The sequence below is a fragment of the Homo sapiens genome, chromosome 1, assembly GCF_000001405.40.
Source record: "Homo sapiens chromosome 1, GRCh38.p14 Primary Assembly".
NCBI classification, from domain to species: domain Eukaryota; kingdom Metazoa; phylum Chordata; class Mammalia; order Primates; family Hominidae; genus Homo; species Homo sapiens.
The window spans coordinates 156460403-156481405 of NC_000001.11; the positions used below are offsets into that span (position 1 = coordinate 156460403).

Sequence of the window (21003 nt, forward strand, 5' to 3'; positions counted from 1 at the left end):
AATGTCTTCCTTACTCTCATTTGCCCAGGCGACTCCTATATGTCTTCAAAATCCAGCTCAAGCACCTCCTCTGAGAAGCCTCCTCTCATTTTCATTAGTTTGGATTTGGGTGTACCACATCTCTGATCCCAAAAGCCCACTTACATTCTTTCTATGTGACATTTAACACAGACTTAAGTATAAACTGTTGGTTAACTTATCTCTTGTGGCCATTAGACTGTGAATTGCCTAGAGGTAGGAGCTATCTCATTCCTGTGTCCCCAGTGCCTAACACAAGGTTTCACACAGTATGTTTGTTGGATTTCAGACAGATTATGGCGTGAGCCATACCACAAAGGATCTGTCAGGGAACTGATAGGGCTGTCTGGTCTGCCTAGAGTTCAAGGGATGCAGAGGGAGCCATAGGGACTAAGCCTGGAAAAGAGGTTGTGCTGGCTCTTTGAAGGCCTTGGGAGCAAGGCCAAGGAGTTAGGACTTTAGATGGTGGGCAGTGGAGAACCATGACATGTTAGATTATCAGAGCTGGGCCAAAGATGGGGAGGATGGATTGGAAACGGGGAAGGTGGGGGGTGAGAGAAAACAAGCAGCTATTAGCTCTGTTTTATAGAAACAGAGGCTTAAGAAGAATGTGACTACCCAAGACCACACAGCTGGTAAGGGGCAGAACTAGGAGTTGAACCAGTTAGTTCTGGACTATGCCAAGTTCAGAGATCCTTGTGCCACACTAACAAGGAGTATACAGTAGATCAGGCTTCAAGGTTGTCCAAGTGTGAGAGGGATACTTTATCAGTCAGGATAGGTTATATTGCAGACACAGTACTCAAAATCACTGTAGTTTAACAAAACAGAGTTACTATCTATTCACACAAAGTCCACTCGTGCTGGACAAAACCTTAGGGCAGCTTAGCCGTCTAGGCTGCTTTGATCTGCTAGCACTCCTCAACACGTGCTTCTGCAATTCCCACAACAGGGAAAGAGTGTTTGAAGAATCAGGCACTAGCTGCATTTCAGAAGGGACACACATTACTTCCCATTATAGGCTACTGCCCAGAACTAGCCCAATAACCCCACTTGACTATACAGGGACTGGGATGCACGGCCTTTTGTGTGTCCAGGAAGGGAAGAGAACAGGAAATATGTGTGGGCGAAACTAATGCCTACCCAAGACATCATGGAATGATGCCTATAAGGAAGGAGGTACAGGCCAGGCCAGTCTGAGGAACCAACAGCAGATGTGCAGAAGAGAGTGGTCCTCTCTTCATGGCTGTGGCTGAGCTACAGTGTACATTGTACCAGTGGGTTCTCACCTGTACCAATGTCTGCAGAATTTTGGGAACTACAAGGACAGAGGAGAGGATGGCCTCACTCAGATGGTGGTTGGCAAAAGGCCTCAGTTCTTTGCCATGTGGGCCTTTCCATAGAGCTGCTTAAGTGTCCCACAGTATGGGATCTGGCTTTCTCCAGGGCAAATGAGAGACAGAGAGAGGGAGAGAGAGAGAGAGACCATGACTTAGCGAGAGACAGAGAGTAGAGCCATGACTTAGCCTTGGAAGTCACATGCCATCACTCTGCCTTTTTTAATTGGACACACATACCAACCATGATTCACTGAGGGAGGGGACCACACAAGGGCATGAATACCAGGGAGGGATAATTGGAGGTCATCTTGGAAGCTGCTACAGGGGAGCAGGTAACCAACAGGGAGCCTCCTCTAGAGGGTGGTATCCTCTTAACCCCTTCCTGCTCAGCTCATCGTTCCTCTCTGCCTCTACTGAGGGAGAAGTGAGGGGAAGACTGCAATGACCGTATGAGGGAAGCAGGACCAGTACAGATGGTCATCGGCATTTTGCAGATGAGGAAACCCAAGGCATGAAGCCTGACTCCTGTGTGCTCCCACAACTAAGGCTAGCACCCACAGCCTTAACCATGCTTCATGGATTTTAGGCGTTCATAGGCCTGTCTCTGCCATCGTATATGGCCCCTCACACTCCGCGTTCGCCTCTGCAGCACCTGGGCTAGGTACAGAGAAGCAGCCACACCCTGTTCGGAGGAAGCCAAGCCGGATCTGCTTTCCTCCACAGCCGCTCCATCTGCCCCAGGGCACGGCTGTGCCAGGTATGAGGGAGGAGGCAGGGTTTTTTTTTTTTTTTTGAGACGGAGTTTCACTCCTGTTGCCTAGGCTGGAGTGCAATAGCACCATCTCGGCTCACCGCAACCTCCGCCTCCCAGGTTCAAGCAATTCTCCTGCCTCAGCCTCCCTAGTAGCCGGGATTATAGGCATGTGCCACCACGCCCGGCTAATTTTGTATTTTTAGTAGAGACGGGGTTTCTCCATGTTGGTCAGGTTGGTCTCGAACTCCCGACCTCAGGTGATCCCGAGGCCCGCCTTGGCCTCCCAAAGTGCTGGGATTACAGGCGTGAGACACCGCGCCCGGCCTTTTTTTTTTTTTTTTTTTTTTTTTGAGATGGAGTCTTGCTCTGTTACCCAGGCTGGAGTGCAATGGCATAATCTCGGCTCACTGCAACTTCTGCCTCCTGGGTTCAAGCGATTTTCCTGCCCCAGCCTCCCAGGTAGCGGGATTACAGATGCATGCCACCACGCCCAGCTAATTTGTGTATTTTTAGTAGAGATGGGGTTTCGCCGTGTTGGCCAAGCTGGTCTCAAACTCCTGACTTCAGGTGATCTGCCTGCTTCAGCCTCCCAAAGTGCTAGGATTACAGGCGTGAGCCACCGTGCCCGGCCAAGGAGGCAAGTTTAAGAGAAGACGACCCTGGCTGGAAGGCATGGCGGAGTGGGGTGGGGTGGTCCTGTGGGGTGTGTCAGGTGGGGAGAAAGAGGCTCCTTGGCACTGTTAAAGCACTTTGAAAGGGCAAGAGCGGCTTCCTCTGCTGGAGGGAAGCATGCTGTGAGGAGCACGAGGGTGGAATCCACCTGTGCCTAACATAGTGCCCGGGCAAGTCTCTGCTGAGGAAGGCTTTCAGCAGTCAAAGGTCCTCACCGTGCCAACTCCCACCCCCAACACCATTCTGGTTTGAACTCAACCTTGGGTGGCATTTCTATTTTTGTGTCCCAGAATCCCTCCTGAGGCTTCTAGCTGGGCAATCCCTCCTTAGTGTGGGCTGGGGCTGCCTCCTTCTGACAGAACACTTAGAAGAAATTCTCACCTGAAAACCCCACCTGAGACATGTGGAAGTGCCCCGCCCTGAAGGCCGCCCCCCATTCTTCCCTGCTGAGATGAAGCACTGCCTCTCACCCTGATGGGGCCACACCAGTCCTTCCTTCCCATCCTCGCGGCACCAAAGAAACCAAAACCCACGCCGAAGTATCAGAAACGTGTATTCTTTTTCTTTTAATAGTAAACCTCTTTACAACAAATATAGTGAAAGAGTTTTCAAACAAAACTCATAAGAATCTCGAGGACTTTGTCTTTTCTTATTGTGTAGAATACTAAGAAAGCATCACCATACAGCACGAAAAGAAATATTGAAAACAAATCAACAGCCTCACACTTGGACTCGCCCTGCCCCAGGACCCAGGAAGAGCCCCAGGAGTGTGGGTGATTGTCAGGTGTGGGGGTGGGGCACCTCCATGGCCCATCCTGCCCCTCCCTTCCTCTTCCTCACCACCTCCCTCCCTCTGGAGAATGGGGAAGAGGAGAGAATCCAGATTCTCCATTCCAGCCTCCCTCCCCCCATACAAATACCATTCCTTCTACCAACTGCTTTAAGGGGTGGGGAGAGGCAGCAGAGGGGAGAACAAGGAGTTCCCAGGCTCCATGTCTCCTCCCCTCCGCGAAAGCCTAAACTTACCCCTCACCCCACCCCAGGGGATTCCAAAGAGTCAGTTAAAAATATATAGAGATATAGATATTTCTAGATACACTTTTACATTTCTGTCTCTCCAAACAAATAAATAATCAGCAAGAGAAGGTGCATTACTTCCTTCCTGTCCAAGGTAGGGAGGGCTGGGAGGGGGTCAGGGGTCAGTCTTGCTGCACTGAGTGTGCTGTTGAGGGGGGGAGAATGGTGTGTTCCACTGAGGTGGTGGGGGGGGGTGTCCTCTTGCCCACTGTCCCTGAAAGCTGTGGGAAACCTGGGGAGGGGGAGGGCCATTAGATGACTCCAGTGGTTACTTTGGCAAATGCCCAGTTCTTCAGAGGGAGTGGGTGGAGGCGAATTTGGCTTGAGAGGAAGAAGACATTAAGTCCTCATCTGAGGTCTGGGTTCCCAGGGACCCATTCATCTGGCCGCCCAGGAGCCCCTACCCCCAAGAGAAACCTTCGGATACTGAACTGCAGAAATGTCACATATTCACAGACCACCCCATCCCCAGGGACAGAGAAGAAAGGACACTGAAACATCCACACATGGTAATCAAAAGCCAGGTTTGCCTTTATGAGGCAGAGGGCAAAACTGGTGAATATTGCACCGTGAATTGCAGGGGCCCTCACCCCCACCCCGTGTTTAATGGTGGCCAAGCCCAGCCTAGAAAGGTGGGCAGACTAATGGTGGGAATAGCCTGAGAAGGGAAGGCCATTCATTCATTTATTGAGCACCTATCATTCAACTATTCACCCATTCAGCATTTATTGAGTGCCTACTATGTGCCAGGCACTGGGCGAGGCTCTGGGGACGCATGCATGAACAAGATTACACCCTGGCTTCTTTCAAGCCCTGGATCGAGGCTCATCAGTTTTTGAAACTCCGTCTAGAAGCCTGCAGGAGAGGTGGGAAGGCTGGACGTGCTGTCCCCACCCAGTCAGCGGATTGGGGTTAAGAGTGAGTAAGTGATCACTGCTCAGCTGAGGGAGAAGCTTCACGGAGGAAGAGGGACTTGAGTTTTGCTCTGAAAGCAGGTCTGGGGTTGGGGGAAGAGGGTACTCCAGGAACTGTGTCAAGTGTGGGTGACTAAGTGGACATATGTGGGTGGAAGCAGAGGTCCCTGGAGGGAGAGACCTTGGCAGAGGTAGGGCTGCAGGGAGAAGCACAGAGGGCTAACTGCCAATCCCCCCAACTGCAGTTCAATGTGTCAGAGCTGAGGGTGAACACAGGGAAAGGAGCAGGGAAGACAGGAGTTGGGGTCCCAGGGCTGTGGAGCTGGAGCAGCCAACTCTCCCTTTGTAAACACACACCAGGCACACTCAGACACAGAGATGCCCCTAGAGCTCCAGTCACACAGATTTGCACACACACCCAGCCAGGGTCAGAGACACACAGAGGCACACCCGTGCAACCACACACACACATAAATACAAAAGTACACCCGTGCAATCAGACATACACACACACACACACATAAATACAAAGCTACACTCAGACACATAAACACCAGATGCCCTCATGAACACACTCAGGTACACGTGTGTACCTGCGTAGAGGCCCCTCTGCTTCTGGTTCCTTCCCTGCATCAAGTATGGGAATACTGCAAGAGGCTGGGTCATAGAGGTGGGCAAAGACGGTCGGCTAACACAAAACTGGGCCTTGTCTTAACTCTACTCTCCAACTGGGAGGAAACCCCAAGGGGGCGCCGCACCCCTTGGGCAGAGGAGCTGGGCTTGTGTGAAGGAGTGGGGCAGACAGTCTGCCTGGCCACGTCACCCCAGGCCAGGCCCCTTAGGGCGGGGGGTGATCCTAGAGAGCAGGCTGGGGGCCTGCCCCCTCTGGTTTGATCTCCAATCCTGCCTGAGGTCTCAGGACCCCGTGCTTCGGCTGCCCCTGGGCCCCTTGCCCACTGCCCCACTGAGGAGGCAGCAGGGAGGGGCGGACTCAGAGGAGGGGAGGGGAGCAAGAACAACAGCAGAAGAATCTCGTCTGTACAGTACGGGCCGTTTGAGTCATTATTATTACAATATACTTTGACAAAAATAGAATCTCATTTCATATCAATACAACAACAACAAAAAAAAACAGTTTCCTGGACTGTTACACCGCTAACGTTTTCCAAAGGTCGCTATTTACAATTACAGTAGCCAAGAGGGAAGGTGGGATGCAGCCTGGAGGTGGTGGGACAAGGAGGTAGCCAGAGACAATAGGGGCGCCAAGAGCAAGGAGGTGGGGTCAGGAGCAGAAGGAGCTAACAGGAGAAGCTAGGGAGAGGGGCCAAGGAGGAATGAGGGAGGTGGGACCTCTACGGACCCATCCGTAGGCCCTCCCACCCCACAGACCATCCCAGTGTTGACTCCCCCAGGTAGTGTGCGTGCAAGACCAAGGACGTCCCCTCACCACACTCGCCCCAATGAAAGAGCTCTGGCCTGGAGCACCCCAGGGAAGTCCAGGCCGACTCTCGCCCCAGCCACCTCACTGAAGACCCTCTCCCCATTCTCCCTGCACACTGTGGCCAGCTTTACAGGGCTGGCGTCAACTGAGGGGTGGGGAGCTATTGCACTGTATATCTTAGAGAAAAACTGGGGAAGGGAGGGGCTCAATTTGCCCCCTGCCTAGCCCTTCTGCCCTCCTCAGCCCTCTCCTCATGGCTCTCTTGTCTTTCCCTCCAAATGTGCTTCCAGAGAGGCCCCCACCTCAAACCCCTGTCTCCAGCCTCAGATTCCCAGGCTGCCTTCCCGGCCCAAAGCTCAGCCAGCACCCACACACCTTGGGGGTGCAGCACACACAAGAATCAGCGCAGGTGTGGCACGTGTGTGTGCAGGGGCATTTGGGGGCCAGGCTTAAGTATTCTGCTCCATGTGCCTATGGCTACATGAACACAAAAACAGAGACCCTTTTCAGAACCTCTGCCTCACTTTCCCCTTGAAACACAAACCCACCCATCAAGCCCACTTTGGGGTTTCAGTCTAGAGTGTGGGTTTCTGTTGTTTGGTAGTTTTTTGGTTATTTCCCTCTATCTGGGGGTGGGGTGGGAGGGCTCCACATGCAGGGCTCGGCACCTGTCCTTTCCCAAAGGCCTTATTGGGCCCCCCACCCCCTTCCTGCAGCATATGTGTACAACGTGCAAAGTGTCCCCCCTTCCCGCGAAAAAGAGAGCCCCCCAGCCAGTGAAAATGGTGGGGGGTACAGAAAGAGGGGATGAGAGCATCCCCCTCTCCAAAGCGAGAATCCAAATTAAAAAAAATATAATAATAATAATAATAATATAATAATTATACACAAATGTAACCGTCAACAGGACACGAAGCACAAGAAAGGAAGTGGGGGTCGAGCGGGAGGAGCCCGGGGCAGGGAAGGGCGGGCGGTGAGATTGTCAACTCTTCATCAGGGAGGCTGAGAGGAGGGGAGTGGGAATCGTCACTTTAATGTCTGTGAAGAGAGGAGATGGAGAAGGGGGTGTGAGGGGGTGGCCCAGGCTTTGGGTATGCACCCCCCACTCCCCTCTCCCCATAGGGCCAGGATTCTAGTGGCAGGGCCAGCTGTGAGGGGAAGAAGTCATCGAGCAGAAGGACTGATGCTGGAGGGAGGGAGAAGATGGGCCTTTGGCAGGGGTGAAGGGGTGTTGGTGCTGCCCTAGAAGGGCTGGCGGAAGGGGTAGCCGGCCACAAGGCCTCTTGGGTGGGAAATAAAACAGGTTAGGGGGCACGCGGGGCAGTCCCTGGGTGTAGCAGACACTGGCAGACAGGAGAGGTGATGCTACAGTACCCAGGTATCAAGCCGCATCCTCTTCACAGCTGAGCCCTCAGCCTCAGGCTCTGGGGCTGGGCGCAGCAGGCCCAGTGTGGGCCCGAAGTCCCCCCGTCCGTCATCCCGGTCTCCCGTCTCATAGGATCCCCCGGCTGGGCTGCTGAGACCATCGCCAGGCTCAGGGCGGGCAGCTGGGAACACAGCTGGAGGGGGAGGCGCAGGGCTGCGCTCACGGCTTGGGGACACCGGTTCTGACTTGATGCTGATGTGGGGGTGGGTGGTGACTGTGAGGGCAGCACCCACGTGGGGCAGGGGGCTGCCCGGGCTGGAGGCAGGCAATGGAAATGGGGTACAAGGGATAAAAACAGAGGGGGTGAGTGACAGAACAAGTGATAGGACACCAGACAGAAAGTGAGAGAGAACAAGAGGATGAGAATATGGGGGATGGGGTGTTGGGGAGAGGCAATTGGATGGAGAGTGATCAGAAGAGGGTCGAATGAAGGGAAGAGAAGGGAAATAAGAAATATTAGTTCTCTTTCCATCCCATGTCATCTTCTGCAACACAGGGCCCCCCACCTCCCACCCCCTACCCTGGGGCTGGCTCTCAGAAGGGGTTCAGGGTGAGCCTCTTGGGTCTGTACAAGAGAGCCCAGGGGTGCCACTGTTGCCTAACAGACTGTGCAGTGCACAGCCTCATAGGATGTCCACTAGAACCCTGCAGGGAACCCAGCTCCCAAGAGGTCCCTCCTCTTCCCGTTCAATTCTCCCTTCCCACACACTCACATGCAGTCTCCCCAGGACTCACATGAGGTTGCTGAGAGATACAGGGACCAGGTGGGACTGTTGCTGAGGTGGCTGTTGCGGCTGCTGAGGCTGCTGTGGCTGTGGCTGCTGTGGCTGCGGTGGCTGCTGCTGTGGAGGCTGTGGCTGCTGCGGCTGCTGGGGCTGCTGTGGCTGTTGCCAGGCAGTGACATTGCCTAGCGACAGCCCCCCAGGTGAACTAAAGGCTGGTAAGGAGGAGAGCTCTGCACTGGTCAACTGGTAATCTGCATGGAGGAAAAGTGAGGATGAACCTGGAGTTGGGGAGAGCACACAGGCTCCTATGAGGGAGCTGCCTCCAGGAGGACTGTGGGGATGAGGGGACAGGGAGTGTGTAATGACAGATGTAAGGAATTCAAGAAGACCACAAAAATTCAGTGAAGACGGTACTCAGAGTTAAAGAAACCTAAGTCATAATAACCATGAGGTGCTGTGTTTTAACAGGATGAAAAGATGTGGTTTTTGTTTTGTTTTGTTTTTTTGAGATGGAGTCTCACTCTATTGCCCAGGCTGGAGTGCAGTGGTGTGATCTTGGCTCACTACAACCTCTGCCTCCCACGTTCAAGCAAATCTCCTGCCTCGGCCTCCTAAATGGCTGGGATTACAGGCACATGCCACCACGCCCAGCTAATTTTTGTATTTTTAGTAGAGATGGGGTTTTGCTATGCTGGCAAGGCTGGTCTCAAACTCCTGACCTCAAGTGATTCGCCCACCTCGGCCTCCCAAAGTGCTGGGATTACAGGCATGAGCCACCGCATCCGACCAAGAGGTGGTTTTTAAAAATAGTGTTGAACTTAAAAAAAAAAAAAAAAACAGCTGGGCGAGTGGCTCATGTCTATAATCCCAGCACTTTGAGAGGTCAAGGCAGAAGGACCACTTGAGCCCAGAGTTTGAGACCAGACTGGGCAACATAAGGAGACTCCATCTCTACAAATAGCTTAAAAATTAGCTAGGGTGGTGGGGTGCACTGTAGTTCCAGTTATTCAGGGGGCTGAGGCAGGAGACTTGCTTGAACCTGGGAGGTTGAGGCTGCAGTGAGCTATGATCATGCCACTGCACTCCAGCCTGTGGGATCTTGTCTCAAAAAGAAAAAAAAAATCATGTGTAGGTATCACTTTCATAACAATTTAAAAAAATAAAAAGATGGAAACAGATAAGTAGAGAAGGTCTATGTCTTGGCCTCATGCCCAAGGGGCAGAGGGGCTGCAAGGGTACCATGCCGGGAGCACAGCTGGCCAAGGTTCCAGCAGATCTCCCCATGAGGGGGTGTTCATTACGTCATAAAATGTCTACCTTAAAGAAGAAACTGATGGTTGCACTGTCACAGAATAAATAGAATCACTGAATGTTTCATGATTTACACAGCACTATTGTTTCATGCTGTATCCTGTTTGGGACAGTTTAGAAAATGTCCTCCCTAGTTCAAGATTAGCCTGGCCAACATGGTGAAACCCCATCTCTATTAAAAATACAAAAAATTAGCCAGGCGGTGGCGCGCACCTGTAATCCCAGCTACTAGGGAGGTTGAGGCAGGAGAATTGCTTGAACCTGGGAGGTGGAGGCTGCAATGAGTGGAGATCGCACCACTGCACTCCAGCCTGGGCAACAGAGCGAGACTCTGTTTCAAAAAAAAAAAAAAGAAAGAAAGAAAGAAAGAAAATGTCCTCCCTGAGGCTGTACTGTGGTAGTGGGAGTGCTGTGATAGGGAACGCACCCCTCAATCATCCCAATACCCCACCAGTATGCTATTACTCAGGGAGTCATTTGCTCCAGCCCTTTGTTTTTATGCAGGGAAGACAGTATTATCTCTGCAATATAGCAATAAGGTTAAAGGCATGAGCTATGAGGTCAAACTTCCAGGCTACCTCCACTTAGGCCATGTGACCTTGGGTAAGTTACTTACTCTGCCTATAAACTGGAGGTAATAATCCTACCTACATCACACAGCTGTTGTGAGGACTGAGCAAGTTAATACACAAAAAGCATGTAGAACAGTATCTGGTTCATAGAAAATAATCAAAAGATTTATCTATTATTACTTTACAAATGAGGCAACTGCAGCCTCAAGTTTGAGGAACAGGCTCCAAGTCATGGAGAAAGCCAGCGGCAGAGCTAAGACAGGACCCCAGGACTCTATTACCTTTAAATCTCTCTAGAGGGGGATCTGTGCTTGGCTCTAGTCTCCTAACGTTGGTCAGGAGTTTTGAAATGCTTATTAAAAAAGCAGAGCAAGGGCAGAAACGGGCCCTAGGATCAACTATTTCTTTTCTTTTCTTTTTTGAGACAGAGTCTCGCTCTGTTGCCCAGACTGGAGTGCAGTGGTGCGATCTCCACTCATTGCAGCCTCCACCTCCCAGGTTCAAGCAATTCTCCTGCCTCAACCTCCTGAGTAGCTGGCGTGATCTCGGCTCACCGCAACCTCTGCCTCCCAGGTTCAAGCGCTTTTCCTACCTCAGCTTCCCGAGTAGCTGGGATTATAGGCGCACACCATCACGCCCAGCTAATTTTTGTATTTTTAGTAGAGACGGGGTTTTACCACGTTGGTCAGGCTGGTCTTGAACTCCTGACCTCGTGATCTGCCCACCCTGGCCTCCCAATATGCTGGGATTACAGGTGTGAGCCACCGCGCCCGGCCAGAATCAACTATTTCTAACACTTGTACAAACTAGGAAGCCAAGCCCAGAACAGTACAGTGCCTTGCCCAAGGCCCCTCAGTGAGTGAGTGATGGAGACTAGCTCCCAGCCCTGCACTGTTCCACCAGATTCCAGCCCTATCTACTACTGGGAGGCTTGGCTCCCCAAGGAGGACCATGGCCCAAGGCCACCTGGCAGCCTACTGGTCTGCTCCCAGAGCCACCACAGCCAGGCCTCTGCGGCCAGTGTCAACAAGGGGCCAGGCCCTCACATGAGGCATTACCATAGCCCGATTACCCCCAGCCGGAACTTGAACTGCAGCCAAGGACTGTAAACAGTGAACAACTAAACAGCAATGTGTTCACTGGGGTTTTGTTTACACACCTAGGGTCACCTGAAAACACCTGCTGTTTAAACTGAGATCTGCTTAGCTGCTCCTGTAACAAGAGGAAAGGGAGCCTGTGGTCTCTGAGAGGAGATGAGAAATCTCACACACTTCCCAGCAGGGCTCCAAGGGCGGCCCAGGGGCAGAAACTGCTTTCATGCCAGAGTGACAGATGAGAATCTTTAAGTCTAGCCTTCCTGAGTGCCTGTCCCAGGTTGGCTGACACCAACTAACTTTCCTCCTGCTTCACAAAAGACTGTGGGCCCAACAAGATGGCAGAAAAACAGAAAACCACCCTCACAGAGTACCTGATAAACAGCTCCAGAAAAGTGGTCTAAAAAGTGGTCTGAGCTGCCCTCCGCCAACTGTCCCTGTCCCCAGGCCACCCCACCCTCAGGGCTGGTTTTTCTGGTTGGGCCCCAGAGGCCCAGTGGCAGGGCTGGAAAAGCCTCATAGACCTCCTGTCTACCCACTCCTCTTACAGATGGGGAGACGGGCCCACAGCGTGTGTCTTCTGAAGCAGCCATCTGTGAAGTTGCCAGGACATCGTAGCCTGGGGCTGGGCACACACATGGGTGCACATGCAAGGGAGAAGGGGCTCAAAGACACCTGGGTGGTAACTACACACAGACACACAAGCCAGAGTCTGGTCCCTCAACATGAGGCGGTCCCTCCAGCTCTCTTAACCTGCCACGAGGGGCTTTCCTACACAGAGGGCTGGGTTCTGGATTTTTCTTTTTTTTCCCTTTTTTTGAGACAAAAGTCTCGCTCTGTTGCCCAGGCTGGAGTGCAGTGGTGCAACCTCGGCTCACCGCAACCTCCACCTCCCAGGTTCAAGCAATTCTCCTGCCTCAGCCTCCCAAGTAGCTGGGACTACAGGCGTGTGCCACCACGCCCGGCTAATTTTTTTTTTTTTTGAGATGGAGTCTCACTGTTGCCCAGGCTGGAGTGCAGTGGCGTGATCTTGGCTCACTGCAACCTCTGCCTCCCAAGTTCAAGTGATTCTCCTGCCTCAGCCTCCCGAGTAGCTGGGATTACAGGCACATGCCACTACATCCCGCTTAATTTTCTGTATTTTTAGTAGAGACAGGGTTTCACTGTGTTAGCCAGGATGGTCTCGATCTCCTGACCTCGTGATCCGCCTGCCTCGGCCTCCCAAAGTGCTGAGATTACAGGCGTGAGCCATTGCGCCCAGCCTTTTTATGTTTGAACTTTTTTTTTTTTGAGAGGGAGTCTCGCTCTGTCACCAGGCTGAAGTGCAGTGGTGCAATCTCGGCTCATGGCAACCTCTGCCTCCCGGATTCAAGTGATTCTCCTGCCTCTGCCTCCAGAGCAGCTGGGACTACAGGTACGTGCCACTACACCCAGTTGATTTTTGTATTTTTAGTAGAGATGGGGTTTCACCATGTGGCTAGGATGGTCTCGATCTCTTGACCTCGTGATCCTCCTGCCTCAGCCTCCCAAAGTGCTGGGATTACAGATGTGAGCCACCACGCCTGGCCTGGGTTCTGGATTTTTACATGTGGGGAGGAGGTGGGATTTTGTGGTTATTTGCACTGGTGGCTGGTTCAACTCTGGGAGGCTTGGGGAAGGGGGAGAAGTTTATGAGTCTTTTGGTCCAGACTAAACTCATCAAAGGAACTGGCCTGACATAACCATTCACATGTGAGAGAACCTGAGGAAGGCAGAGGTCTCTAGCTGGAAATAGCCCAGGTTCCCCAGCCACATGAATGCTCTGAAACAAGGGGACAAGGCGTTTCCTTACTGGCAAGTCCTTCTTGACACAGTGGCTTAGCATACAGGCAAGGATGGCTGAGAGTATCACAGACTGTTCCTGCGCAGGTGTGAGTGGGTGGGTGACACAGGCCAGGATGGCCCTAGGGACCCAGGACAGCCCGCGCACTGGGTGTCCTATCTGAATTCTTCTATCCAGAGACCTTTCTCATGTCCTTAAGTGGCTCTTTACCTTCAGATCCCCTCTCTAACCTTCTTCCCTCTTCTTCCTTCCCCAATCATCATTCCACCACCATGCCAAAACTAGAGGAGAGACGCTGTTCTTCCCCCTCCGCCTTGCCCTGGAGCCCCCATTTGGCTTTCCCAGGAAGCTAGCAAACTGACCCTGACTGTGCTTTCTCTCTGGCCTCCTCAGCCTCCTTGTCTCTTTTCTCTTATTCCTTCATTCTCTTCCAGGAAGCTTTTCTGAACTGACCACGTCCCCCTCACCACTCCCCATACCTGCAGCCTAGAGATTGGTCAGCCTGAATGATCTGCAGACCTGCCTCTGTCCTGTCTCGTCCTCAGGCTGCAGGCTTTCTGAGGACAGGGGCTCCCTCCTCCATTAAGTACTTTTTAAAAAATAAACAATGCTGGCCAGGCACAGTGGCTCATGCCTGTAATCCCAGCACTTTGGTGGATCACTTGAACTCAGGAGTTTGAGACCAGCCCAGGCAACATGGCAAAAACCTATCTCTACTAAAGATACAAAAATTAGCTGGGCATGGTGGCGCATGCCTGTAATCCCAGCTACTCAGGAGGCTGAGGCATGAGAATCACCTGAACCCAGGAAGAAGAGGTTGCAGTGAGCCAAGGTCATAACACTGCACTCCAACCTAGGTGACAAGAGTGAGACTACCTCAAAAAAACAAAAACAACAAAAACCAATGCCTAGTTAAATTTGAATTTCAGATGAAACAATACATAATTTGTTAGCATGAGTATGTCTTTGGTGCTGGGCACAGTCGGTAACACAGCACTTTGGGAGACTGAGGCAGGAGGACTGCTTGAGACCAGGAATTTGAGACTAGCCTGGGCAACAGAGAGACCTTGTCTGTACAAAAAAAATGTAAAAAGAGCCAGGCATGAAGGCATGTGCCTGTAGTCCCAGCTACTCAGGAGGCTGAGGCAGGAGGATCACTTGAGCCCAGGAGTTCAAGGCTGTAGTGAGCTAGGATGGCACCACTGTACTCCAGTCTGGGTGACAGAGTGAAACCCTGTTCCAAAAAAGAAAAAAAAAACAAACCCAAAAATAAAATATGTCTTTGGGACATACATTAGCAGAAGAATGTCTTTGGGACATATCTGTACTAAAAAACTACTTGTTTTATCTGAAATTCAAATTTAAAAGCATTCTGTGCTTTTATTTGCTAAACCTGTTAACCATAAGTAGGTGGGGGTTCCCCCAAATCAGTAGCCCTCCTCAGATGTGGCCTGTCCAGGGGATAACTAGCATTTCTGTCTGGTCACTTGCCTGCCCCAAGCCCAAGTGCACACATGCACATGTCACATGAACACTCACCTGTGTTGTAGGCAGTGGGCATGGAAGAGAAGGGGAGGCCCTGGCTGAGTAAACTCGGCGTTGCCACAGAAACCACTGGGGTGGTGAGCGAATGAGTAGACTGGGAGACCCCAAGGCGCTGGGCATTGTTCTGTAGGAGAAAACTGTCCGTCAGGAGGTGGCTGACAGGTGGGCAGCTTTATGTTGGCCCTCCATCCCAAGGCCAAGGTGGGGTTCCTGAATCCCAAAGCCAAGGCGGGGTGCCTTAGCACGGAGGCCCCCACAGATATACAAACACACGTTGGTGCATTCACAGAGACACTCAGATCCATGGAGGGAAACATGCACACACAGATTCACTGACACCAACACACGTGCAAAGATGAAGGCACGTGTACTGGCCCTGTGGCCCCAGCACCAACACTCGCCCAGCCTCCCAGTGCAGAGTGAGGGAAGGGAGACATCGTCCATCCCCTGTCTCTCTGGAGCCCACTCTCCATCCATCACACTGCAGCACACGCCCCGGCAGAGGCGTGCTGGCATCTGCGAGGGGAATGTGGGGCCTGGCGTGGCGTGTGCCTGCGCGTATGCACACACGTGTGTGGGGCTGTCAGCTCCATCTGCCGCTGAGTCACTTGTTTATTCCAACTCCATGCTGGGGCCGAAACTGCCGCCGTGTTGGCCGCCAAAGCCTGCCTGCCTTTTCCAGCCTCTCTGGCCTCCCGTCAGGGAGTTAGGGAGGGAGGAGCCCCCGCCCCACTCCTGGCTGGGGGTGAGTATGTAAGTGTGTGAGACAGAGGAGGAAAATGAGCAGCTGTGCATGCCTCTGAGTGCCCGTGTCATGGACTTAAGTTCAGGAGGGAGCACAGGGAGACAGGGGAGGTGGGAAGCTGCCACCAAGAAGGACAAGTCCAGCCTGGGCCTGGGCCTTGGCTTCCCCTGAAACACCAGCTTCTCCTTCCAGCTGACCTCCCTCCTAAGAAGGATCCTGTCCTGGATCCCAAGAATGCAGTGTGGGCCTGAGTGGAGTCAGAGGACTAGTGGGATCCAGCCCCCTAGTCCAGGGCCTAGTCCAGGCATCAGGGTGGGACCTCTGAGCCCTGGGCTGGCCCACTCCCCCTCGCACACGTACATACAGAGAAAGGTGTGTCTGAATGAACATAATACCACATGCAGACATTCATGTACACACAGGCACACACACACACGTCTGACCTCTCACCCCCACCCCATTCACCTTTGAATCCCACTTGGCACCTAAGCACAGCTCCTGGCAACTAAGCAAAGAAACAGCAACAGTTCACGCACAGGCGAGAGGCCAAGGACGCACACGTACTTCATGCTGGGGGACCGCAGAGCAATACCCAGAATTCAAAGCCACAGCAAAGAGCTCACAGCCTCACTTACCAGATCTAAATGGTCCTCAGTCTGAGAGCAGAAATAAAACCAAGGGGATGTTCAGTCTCTGGCCGCTGCCCTCCCCCACACCTCTGTCCCCACAGCTGTTCCAGTCACCTCTCTGCATAAGAGTAGGGTGGCTCTACCCAGCCTACAAAGGCAGAGCTCTCCACCGTCCTGACTCATTTCCAGAGATGCTCCATCCCAATCTCCACCAGTGAGGAAATGCTCACCATCTAATCCCCATCCCTCCTGCTATAGTGGCAAATCCTTTCTATGATCCTCCCCACCACTTCTCTCTCACCTCCTGCCCCTTTTTACTGCCTTAGGCTGGTACTTCTTGTGCTGCAACCTCTTAAAAGGCCCTCTGGGAAGAAAAATCTCATAAAAAGCCATGGTTCCAAGATTTATCTTGGGAAGTCCTAACTGCTGGCTAGCCTTCATCTCTCCTGCTAGAGGTCTGCTCTTTCCCCTGTCCCTACTCTTCCATTCCCCAGCCCCCACCCTTGGCCCAGACACCCACTTACCAAGTGATGCATTAACCCCTTTCCTGCCTGGGAAGTGATGACTCGCAGGTCGGGCTTGCGGCTGGGGGCTCCAAGCTGGGTGCTGTGGGTAGGTGGGGGTGGAGACTTGGCAGGGATGACCTTGTTTAGGCTGTTGCCATTGGCCACAGGGAGGAGGCCAGGGGAAGCCCGAGCACTGACGTAGCCATTCCCTGGAGAAGTGACAACAAGAGGGTAAAAGGAAAAACATGGGCCTATCCTTCAGCCCTATTAACTTCCCCACACCAATACTCCTGTTACCCGGAACCTCTCAAAGCCATGCTTAGGCTTTGAGTGGGGGCTGAGCTATCTGATATTCCCTGAACACTTCATGTCTTGAGAATAATGGGAGGCAAGTACCCCTTACTCCTGAATCTTTAGGTTCGTTCCCCTAACTCCAAGCTACATGTGATAGGGCTTGGTGATGGGACTCTGAAGTCAGTGGGAAGAACTGGAAAGCAGCCATTGCCTCTAGGCTCTGCGACGGCCAAGAGGTTCTTCTGTACCCAAGCCTCTCCCTGTCTTCTCTCTACTTTAGTCTCCACAGACAGGAAGTCCAGCATTTTTAGGTCCCACAGTCTACCCCGGACAGGACCCACCATGACCAGGATGTGGAAGGGGTGGCAGCCTGGAATCCGGGCCTCACTGAGAAGCCTGGTCACCATGACAAACCAACAACCACTCAGACTGCTCCATTTGCCGTGAGCTGGGGGTGGATGATGTGATTTGGATCAACATGTGACAAGTTGCCCACAGCTTGGGAGAAACAAGCCATTCACTGTTGGTGATGGTGTTATTGGCACTGGGAGACACATAACACAGCCACCACCATAATTAGCCTGGTAATAACAAATGTAATAACTATCTTTTATATCTGCTCCATATTCTACAATCCACACAGGCCTTTCACACATGTATTATCTTATTTAATCCTCACATTAACTCTGCAAGACAGACAGGACATTAGCCCTGTTCACAGAAGAGGAAACTAGAGCCTGCTTGGGAGAAGTGTAATGACCTGCCCAGGGCCACACAGCTGGCTGGAGGCCAAGTGAGGGCTCTCTCCCACTTTCCACATGCTGGACTCAAGGGCCTCTATGGATCACTGCTCACTTGAGGTCTACAAGCATTTCTCTGGCCTTCTCCTTGAAGAGGGTGACATATTCACCCACCCCTTTAATTTCCTGACCCTGTGACATAATTATCACCAGGGAGGTATTATACAGTGCCCCAAAACTGAGCTGGGGGATGCTGAGGTCCAAGGATGTGAGAGTGACCACAGTCAGAAATGCTTCCTTGCTCTGTCCCCTAAGAGCATGCTGTTGCCCTGGAAGTGTGTGCCTGCCTCCATCCCAATTCCCGGACCACTCTGGGAATGGCAGGAATGTCAGGGTGACGTCAATCGTGACATTCGAAGTCACAGTCACCCAGCCAGACAATGGCACAGGGTAGGAGGGGCTGTCCGCTGCCAGGGGTTGGGGGGCAGCCTTTCTTCTGTGGCTTATTTTTTTATTTTTTGAGACGGAGTTTCGCTCCTGTTGCCCGGGCTGGAGTGCAATGGCATGATCTCAGTTCACCACAACCTCTGCCTCCTGAGTTTAAGCGATTCTCCTGCCTCAGCCTCCTGAGTAGCTGGGACTACAGGCATGAGCCACCACACCCGGCTAATTTTGTATTTTTAGTAGAGATGGGGTTTCTCCATGTTTGTCAGGCTGGTCTCAAACTCCCGACCTCAGGTGATCCGCCCATCTCAGCCTCCCAAAGTGCTGGGTTTACAGGCGTGAGCCACCATGCCCGGCCTCTTCTGTGGCTTATGTATGTGTGCTCACAAATGCACATCTAACATCTGGATACTTCTGTAAGAGGGAGAATGCACTTATGTGTGTTGAGTGCCTGCGTGAGTGTCTATGTGAGTCTGTCCCTGTTGTTTGTCTAGGGAACGCCCGGCATTCTCATCCTCCAGATCCCAACCACACTCAACTGCAAAAACTTGGGTCTTCCCTTCCAACTAGAAATGCTGGCCCATTCTCACAGTTTGCCCAGAATTCCCTGAGCCTCCATCTCTGCTGATCATCTACACCAATCATTGCTACAGAAAACAAAATCCAGGGGCTTAAAAATCTCTGACTGACTCTTCATCCAGTCCTGGCCCTGGGATCTTCCTCTCCTCTCATCTAGGTCGTTCCTGATCCTTGGACCCCCTGAGGCCACTGAGCGGGCACCCCTCCCCACCTCCAGGTAGAAGGATGACTGCACTCACCAACAGGGCTGGGGCAGGCTCCGTTAGCACTGTTCAGGTCACCCCCCAGCATGGCCCCTGGAGGAAAAACAGAACCAGGATGAGCTGACAACACTCCCGCTTCAAGAGTGAGTCTTGGGGACTGAACATGAAGAGGGGACCCCAGGAGGAAGAGTCATACTCCCTTCCCTCAGGAGCCATACAAATGGCGGAATGCTGTGGTGGGTGAAGAGAAATACTTGCTGTTGAAAATGGAATCCCAAAGTCCCCATCACATCTCATTTCCACCTCACCTACCCACCTGCCAGCCCACTCACCCGCACTAGCTGGCCGCTGGGGCAGGCCAGGAGACACACTGTTCCTCTGTAGTGCTGGCTGCTGGGGGGACAGGAGCCGCGGGTCCGTGAGGGATGATGTCACCAGGGAAGGGGTGACCAGGGAGCCGCTGGGATTGCTGAACTGCAGTGAGCTCTGATTGGACACGGGCACCGTGACAGGCATGGCAAAGTTGGGGGCCGGGACAGTTGACTAGACAGAAAGATGGAGGGGCAGGATCAGGCCAGGTTGACCCCTTCCATGGAGTCCACTTTTCCTGGGAGGGCAGGCAAGGGTTCTTCTCATTTCTGGGCTACGCATCCTAGGGCCAGCAGTTCAAGCTCCCTGCCCTGTGCCCTTGTGGAGTCCTGCCTGCCAGTCCCACCAAGGAAGAACTTTGGGGAGAAACTCTGGGTCCATACTCTGGGTCCATTTCTGGCCCACAGAATGAGAACAAGGCTCTGCTCACTGCAGACAGGACCAGGGACACCCCCTAGTGGAGGTGGGTTAGTCCTCAGCCAGGCAGGACACACGGGGAGCAGGTTAGAGGCCCTGATAACAGACTCAAATTCACACACGGCTGTTAAAGGCTTGCACCACGGGTAGGGACATCATTTCACTTGCAGTCTCCACCCATCTGGCCTGCTGCAGAGAGAGCTCACCCCCACCTCGCTGCCTTCCCCTTCAGCAGTTCTGCTTTCCCTACACAAGGCTGAGTGTCTCTGGTTGGGCTATCAGAGCAAGCCCAAGCAGGCCTCTCCCCCCAAAAAAACATCTGGACAAAGAGCACACTCCACTTTGCTGTCCTCTAAGGATCTCATGTCATCTACACACTTCTTGCTGGAGAGGGGGACACTCCAGGCCTCTCCAACTTATGCTCCATCCCAGTAGAGTCTCAGCAGGGATGCGGGTTTATCATGACCAAGGTCAGAGGTTCCTCAGTGGTCACTAAGAACCCGAGCATGGCTCAGAGCGGAGCACCCATCAGGGCAGCCGAGAGCCAGGGCGCGAAGCCACACCATGCACCACAGGGAGGCTCTGCTCCATGCGACTACTCACGGCCAGTCTATAACTCTGCATCATTTTATCAAACTCCTCGTCTATCTTTTTATATTTCTCTTCCGTCTGGGGGGTCAGGGCAAACACCTCGTCCACCTCAGGGCTCTCACATTCCCTGTGCTTCTTGTGCAGCGCCTGGGGGGAAGGGGCCGGAAGGGGGGGCCAACAGAGACAGAGTGAGTGGGGCTCACCCCATAGCGCCGGAAGAGCCCGTCGAGCTCCTCGCTGGCGCGTCGGTACTTGTCCTCCAGCAGGGGGCTCTGTTCCAGCGAGTCCTCCCCGTCGGGCTCGGGGCTGTCGCAGCCGTTGAAGCCCTTCTTCCTCAGGGTCTGTAACCGCACCACTGCCATCAGCTGGGTGAGAGTCCTTCCCGCCCGCCTCGCTGGAGTTCCTTCCAGCCCCTCCCTAAGGGCCCCCTACTCTTCCCCGACCTCCTTCTTCAGGGTTCCCAGCATCTCCCTGGCCCCTCCCCACTGACAGTGCCTCCTGGGGCATCGTGTGAAGATCTGAAGATGGGCTTGGTGGGAGCTGTCGGAACACAGAGAACAAGGCTGGAAGGTGAGCCTAACCTGGGGGTGCACTTGGCAGGGAGACATGTACTTCCAAAGTGACAGGCAGGGAAGGGGCTTCCAGGGGATGGGGCCTCCAGGGGATGGGCTAAGGAGCTGGTGCCATGGATCAGTCCCTGCCCGACCACCCTGTGGTAAGCCCTGACCAGAAGGCACTGAGTTCTCCAGGGGGAGGTAGGCAGGGGGGCTCTGCT

At 53.1% G+C, this 21003-nt stretch overlaps 1 protein-coding gene across 22 annotated transcripts in view, besides 3 other annotated features; it reads right to left on the reverse strand.

The window, feature by feature from the left end:
- Nucleotides 1565–2516: an enhancer, noted in NCBI's record as "H3K4me1 hESC enhancer chr1:156431759-156432710 (GRCh37/hg19 assembly coordinates)". NCBI's record gives its function as "activates a minimal SCP1, AML or CMV promoter by ChIP-STARR-seq in primed H9 embryonic stem cells {active_cell/tissue: H9 hESC(primed)}" and the evidence as "EXISTENCE:reporter gene assay evidence [ECO:0000049][PMID:30033119]".
- Nucleotides 2517–3466: an enhancer, noted in NCBI's record as "H3K4me1 hESC enhancer chr1:156432711-156433660 (GRCh37/hg19 assembly coordinates)". NCBI's record gives its function as "activates a minimal SCP1, AML or CMV promoter by ChIP-STARR-seq in naive H9 embryonic stem cells {active_cell/tissue: H9 hESC(naive)}" and the evidence as "EXISTENCE:reporter gene assay evidence [ECO:0000049][PMID:30033119]".
- Nucleotides 3325–21003, reverse strand: part of MEF2D (myocyte enhancer factor 2D) — a 37049-nt gene continuing 19370 nt past the window's right edge. For 12 of the 22 annotated variants that reach the window (XM_005245169.5, NM_005920.4, XM_006711330.4 and 9 more), the window contains 9 exons: nucleotides 20432–20569; nucleotides 19184–19394; nucleotides 18888–18944; nucleotides 16610–16800; nucleotides 16092–16112; nucleotides 14706–14835; nucleotides 8378–8618; nucleotides 7591–7897; nucleotides 3325–7254 (listed from right to left, as the gene is read on the reverse strand). In XM_005245169.5, coding sequence (XP_005245226.1) covers nucleotides 7243–7254; nucleotides 7591–7897; nucleotides 8378–8618; nucleotides 14706–14835; nucleotides 16092–16112; nucleotides 16610–16800; nucleotides 18888–18944; nucleotides 19184–19394; nucleotides 20432–20569 — 1308 coding nt within the window. In that variant the 3' untranslated portion in view covers nucleotides 3325–7242. Of the gene's footprint in view, nucleotides 7255–7590; nucleotides 7898–8377; nucleotides 8619–14705; nucleotides 14836–16091; nucleotides 16113–16609; nucleotides 16801–18887; nucleotides 18945–19183; nucleotides 19395–20240; nucleotides 20376–20431; nucleotides 20570–21003 lie in introns of those variants that run through there. The other 10 variants (XM_047421009.1, XM_006711333.3, XM_017001315.2 and 7 more) reach the window with 4 other exon arrangements.
- Nucleotides 14832–15444: an enhancer, noted in NCBI's record as "H3K4me1 hESC enhancer chr1:156445026-156445638 (GRCh37/hg19 assembly coordinates)". NCBI's record gives its function as "activates a minimal SCP1, AML or CMV promoter by ChIP-STARR-seq in naive H9 embryonic stem cells {active_cell/tissue: H9 hESC(naive)}" and the evidence as "EXISTENCE:reporter gene assay evidence [ECO:0000049][PMID:30033119]".